Below are 6,344 nucleotides of genomic sequence, written 5' to 3'. Positions count from 1 at the left end.
ACTCAAATAAGAAAATCGCTCAAAATTACTTTTTGTCTAACATCATTTCCATAGTCTAAAATAAATATAAAATAAACAGCAAGTAATAAGTCATTAGCAAAAAAAAGCAAGAAATGCGCATTAAAATGATGTATAACATAACCACATTTATTTAAGAATGTATTCCAATATCAAATGGCAAAAACTGCAATTACGTTTGCACCAACCTAACAGCATTGTGAACTATGAAGTCCCAGATGTGTGTCCAAGTGTTTGGAAGTTAGTTTTAGCCTTTCTGTTGGTGACTTTACCTGTACTTTGTCTAAGTCCTTCATTCCCCTTGCCTCTTTTGCAGAGTCTCTAAGACCCTTCTCTGTCATTCTTTGCACCCACAGGATGCACTGCCGAAATTTTGTGTTTCTTTCTCTGTAAATAATTTTAATTGCTAAAATCTTTGCATCCTGCTGTTGCTAAACTGTAAAGCATATGCATTTTTATTTCATATTTCTTTTTTTATTTTATTTATATTATGCATATCTGGGAAGACATGGAGAAATTCAGATTTAGGCAGCTGCTATTATCCCAGGGCAACCCTATTTATTCTTGGAGTAATTCAGCAGTGCTAAATGGTGGGATAATAGTGCAATCATAAAAGTGCAAAAGCTATCATGATTGATGATATACCTTGTTCCAAATAATATTATAAGAACTTTGCCTATTTTCTCCACTTAATTCTTACAATATTCTATAATAGACATCATTTATCTTTTCATTTTAAAGATGAGTAAACTAAGATTTCAATGGTAAATGACAGACCTAATATGTCAATGAAGCTCTACTTTTCTACAATGTCAATGTTCCTTTGACGACATTTCAATGTACAGATAAAGTTATTAGTTTAGCTATGTAAATGGCTTGAACAAGCTTCTTAAATGATCTGTTTCTCAACTTTCTGAAAATAATAGTCAAATTATAAATACTGAATTTCCCCTCTTTGGTTGTTTAAAGGAATAAATTGATATAAATCACCTAGTTTGTTGCCCAGTAAACCATAGACACTTAAAGAATTGCAGCTTTCAATTACTCAGCCACTGGACCTAAGTTAGAATGCAGTGATCTGTGCCATGTGCTAAGCACTGGGATAAAGTGTGATGTGCCCATTGTCTGTGGTAGGTTGGGAAAAATGTACCAAACGGAATCAAAGACAAAGACAGGGAGAGTGTTAGAACAAGTAACCTAACTAAAAGGGTGGGTTTGAGAGATACAATTGCAACAAACCTAGGAAAATCAAACAAGAATGAGGATCACAAGCATAAGGTAGAAACTGTAGAATAGTTGCTTCTGCCTTTGTGTGACAAAACCTGGAAGTCAATGTTCAGGAGTCCTATTTGGTTCCATTACTAAGGAGTGACTAAGAAATTTTCCTCTTTTATTTTTATTTTTCAATTTAACTTGATGAATGTATATAACTTCAGTTAAGGGACCTCATAGGTTTTGGGAATTTCATTTAATATGTTCACCATGGCAATAATTCAATGCCACATCACATGTTAACAATCCATGAAAGCCAATGTGATTTGTATTCCTTTTAGATAACTAGTTTAATTCATAGCTTATAATTTTTAAAGATAGAGGGCTACTTTTGGCAGTTTAATTTTAAAACTATATTATGTGCATCTTTTACGATAAACACTAAACTAGAATTGGGTACACACTGTGCATTTGTAGAAATTCAATTTTGTAATCAAGTTTCTAATTAAAGAAAACTTCTAAGAAGAGCTTATAAGAAATTAAGGTTTTGAAAAATACCATTTAATGGACTATTCAAATCTCACATTAATAAGCGTAGTGAGCTTTTAAATACATATTATCTATGTTCCTGCACATGCCCATCTTGATCATTCCAATTAAATGTAATTAAACTGAATAATGTATATAGCTCGGTACCATCTGCCAATTCCTGATGTTGATTCACAAGTTCTTAACATATCCTGAATAAAATCCAGAGGTTGGTAAAGTCAGAAGAGTACTAAAGTCAGCAAAACAAGGGTCAAATCCTGGCATTCCACTTCCTCCCTTAATGAAAAAGGCAATTCACTTAATCTCTTTGATCTTTTCCATCTTATTAAAAATAATGATACTAACAAGAATCCCATGCTATTGTGAGACTCAAAAACAAAATACGCATCATGAAAGCTGGGTGAAGCATAATTTTAATAATTTATTTGAATATGCATACATGATTTCATCAAGGTATTTGCAAAAAAAAAAAAAAAAGCTACATGCACTGACCTCATGTTTCTAATTTTAAAAGTTTCTTATGGGTTTAAATGCATCTTCCAAAATTCCTATGTTAAGTCCCAATTCCCAGTACCTCAAATACCTAAGTATATTTGGAGATAGGGTCTTTAAAAAAGGTTACTGAGTTAAAATGAAACATTGAAAGTGGGGCCCTAATCCAATATGATTGATACCCTTATAAGAAGAGAGAGAGACAACAGGGGCTCATTTGCACAGAGGAACAATCATGTTTGTTGCAAAAAGCAAGCAACAAAAAACAGAGCTATAGTTGTAAGATCAATACCTGTTTATATATCTTTACTTATGTAAAACTGTTATCCCGACTAATAAGGCTTACCAGTACTCTCTGTGACTAGCTTTCCTTTAGTCCAGCTTTCCCAGAAAAATCCCTGTAGTTGTTCATTAAAAGTTGCATTAAAGGGTGAATCACGCCATCACTATAACTAGAAGCTCTTGCCTTAACTGAACACTGACCTGATGTAAAGTTCATATGTGCACCTGGGAAAAAAACTAATGGAGAGAAAGCTGACTTGCAAGCAACAAAAGCACATTTTTTTTTTCCTGTCTCTCATCACCTGTTCGAAATCATGTGAGAGATTGCAACACACTACAAAAGGTAAAGGCAATGCCCTCTTTTTGAGATATATTTGTTCACTACAATGCTTTTTAGCATCTGATTTCACTGTGGCTTTCCTGTGCCCGTGATTTTTTATACAATCTTTCACCATCTCCGAATCTGCAAGACTTTAAGTTCTAACAGGTTATAAGCATGGCTAGGTAAAATTAATTATTAACTCTTTTACTTTTTCTGGCTCCTCCGTCAGCTATCTAGTGCTTTTCCTAAGAAGACCTCATAATACTCATTTTATACATTAAACTATCTTGGGTAGTCATTCAAAGGTATTCACTTTGATAACAGAGCAATTTCATTTTGTTTTTATTTTAAATTTTTCATAGAATGGCAAACCTCAAAAATAACATAAAACTATTTTTCTAAAACCTAAGGCTTAAAATTTAATAAGTTGTTGGCATGAATAGATTCTATATGAGGCTACGTACAAAGCACTCTTTTTTAAAAATCTCTCATTGACACACTGCAAAGACTCAGATTCAAGAACGACTCAAGAAACAGTTTCATATTGCATACTAGACACACATACACACACACTCACTCACCAACACACACATACACACCCCCACCACCACCATCATTGCCACAGACCACAAAACCTCTTCATTTATGGTACTGCCATGTCTTAGGGCTCCACACTCAAATCCCAGCACCTCCTTATCATCCTTTCTAACTTTGCTGTAGATTCCATTCATAATGTTTATTACCGCCATTTCTCAAACTCTTGATTCCATGTCTTCCAGGCCTGTCACCTGAATGGTGAACGGCTTTTTCCTTTTAATCTTTCTAATTCTTTAACATCCTGAAAATAACTATGGATATTTTTTGTTCATTTTGTTTAAAAGAAATTTTATGATAATGTGAAAACAAGGTTGATAAATTTTAACAAACATTGAGGACCTAAAAGGCTCATAAAAGCCAGGTGTGGCGGTTCACTCCTGTAATCCCAGCACTTTGGGAGGCCAAGGCAGGCGGATGACCTGAGGTCAGGAGTTCGAGATCAGCCTGACCAATATGGAGAAACCCCCGTCTCTACTAAAAATAAAGTTAGCTGAGCGTGGTGGCACATGCCTGCATTCCCAGCTACTCAGGAGGCTGAGGCAGGAAAATCATTTGAACCCGGGAGGCAGAGGTTGCGGAGAGCCGAGATTGCACCATTGCACTCCAGCCTGGGCAACAAGAGCAAAACTCCCTTTCAAAAAAAGCTCATAAAAGTATGACAGTCCTGTCTGTGACAACTTGGCTAAGTTAGTACTTGTCTAAATGGATCCACTGCAGTGGTTTTGAAAGCACATTAATCTCAGCTGAAATTGCATTTCTGAGAAGCTCTGTTCTTTCTCCTTCATTCTAAGTTAATATTAGCCAAAAATAAAGAAAGAGGAAAAGAAAAAGGAAGAAAGTTGTATGAGATTTGAGATGTGTAAATGAAGCAATAGACACTAGACTTGGAATGCATCATTTTTAGAGGCAATGAGATGTGCCAGTAGTTTCCAGTTTGTCCTAGTTTTTGCCTTTGCCATGTTCAATTTTTCTTACCAACTTTTGTGCATTGTGGCCAACAGCAATGCAAAGCACATGTTCAAATGCTTGGATGTGAAATTATGGAGGCTTTCACTATGAAGAGGTTGCAATTGCCTATAGAATTAGGTGACCAAAAAAATGCTGCAGCAGTGAAAATAATGACATAATTGAATATATGGCATATAATAGATTACTTCCAATTAGGTACACTGAAGAACTTGGAGAAATTAAATGAAAGCATAAGGCTTTTAATTCTCCTCAGACTTTGGTAAGGATCCAAAAGCTTCTATAACTGCCCTGAAAGAAACCATTGTCTGATATTGCAACAGAAGTGACTTTCTAAAGACTAAATACAAACTCCAGTCACAAACTTCTACAGGTCGTTGAATTATTCCACAAATTATATTCATAATCTTGCAGAGGATAATGTACAAGCTAAGGTATTGACTGGGAACAAGCCCTGGAAACTTGCTATAATAGAGTCATTTGGGCAATTTTTAAAATACATTCTTTTATTCTGTTGATATATAATGTTTTATGTATTTATGGAGTACGTGTATTTTTTACATGCATAGAGTGTGTTATGATCAAGTCAGTGTATCTATCTCTTTCAGTAATTATCATTTCTATGTGTTGATAACATTTCAAGCTTAGGACTCTGAACCCTTCCATTGTGTTGACCCTCCTTTGCTAGTACAGGCAACCCTTTCTCTGGATGTGAAAAAGTTAGGAAGTGCTTTTTGAACGAAGACATTCAATGGCTTCTGCTAAGTGAATTGTCCTCTATGGGCTGCTGTTCTTTCCGATCAGCACTTCCCATATCACTTCCCCATTGCTTCCAAGCTGGAAAAAAGTGTTAGACAGCACTGATACCTATAGTAATGTGGAAAATTAAAAAAAATACCCAACTGAATTAAGAATTTGGGTAAGAAAATATCTAGGCAGAATTTTGAAAGTGTCAACTGGTTTCTATGAGGTGTCTAGCTATCACCTGCCTGTCATCTGATATAGGGAAATAAACTAATAAGAAACACTTCAGTTTTCAGTAGAAACTAGAAAATACATTTCCAAGTAAGGACCTGCTGGGTTTGAGAATAAAACTATTTCACACATATCTCAACAAAAGAAATAATCTAAGGCAAAATATCAAAGTCATAGTAGCTCTGCCGGTAAAATATGGTATCAGGTTTAATATCCCAAAGGTGTGGCTGTAGTGCTCTTTTGTAAGACCTCAGAAAGATTTAAGATGGTGCTTCATAAATCCTCTCAGCTAGAGACAAATTTTTTAAGGAATTTTATGAGCATGGCCTTAGACCCTCTCTTCTAGATAAAAGAGCTTCTAAAAGTCTTTAAAGTGTTATCCTTTAGCAACTTGACCCTTAGCTCAAGATAGAGAGACTTCTCTCAGATAGATTGGTGGGCACGGCTTCTCTTTAATGAAGTGAATTATAATTTGATACACAGAAAGTTTGAAATCCTTCAAAGAAATGTATACAGCTTGAAAATGAGGGCAGAAAGTTCAGAATGCAGAGAAATCTTTGAGCCTCCAACTTTCTATAGGCAGGAACCAGCCTAGGAAACTAAATGGACCTTTTTTTTTTTAATGGAAAATGGAAGTTTAGAGCCCAGTAGGCAGCGCTTTGTTGAGGAGAACCAGGGAATAAAACTGGAGACCAATCAATGGAACAGTGGCAATTGTCACCCTGGCTGGATTTTAGCATTGCAGTGGACCAGGCTCTGCTATATTCCTCTCATTTTTACATCTCACTTGTTGTTATTGTTTATTCAGTTCTCCTGTACTTGTTTCATAATTTTATGTTGTGTATTCAGGGGACAGATAACTTGTCATTCTAGTTCATAAGTCTTCAGATCAGGAGGAGCTCTAACTACCCAGGAAACCTCATTTACACCT

Source organism: Homo sapiens, chromosome 9 (assembly GCF_000001405.40).
Source record: "Homo sapiens chromosome 9, GRCh38.p14 Primary Assembly".
Lineage (NCBI taxonomy): Eukaryota > Metazoa > Chordata > Mammalia > Primates > Hominidae > Homo > Homo sapiens.
This window is presented reverse-complemented; position numbering follows the sequence as displayed.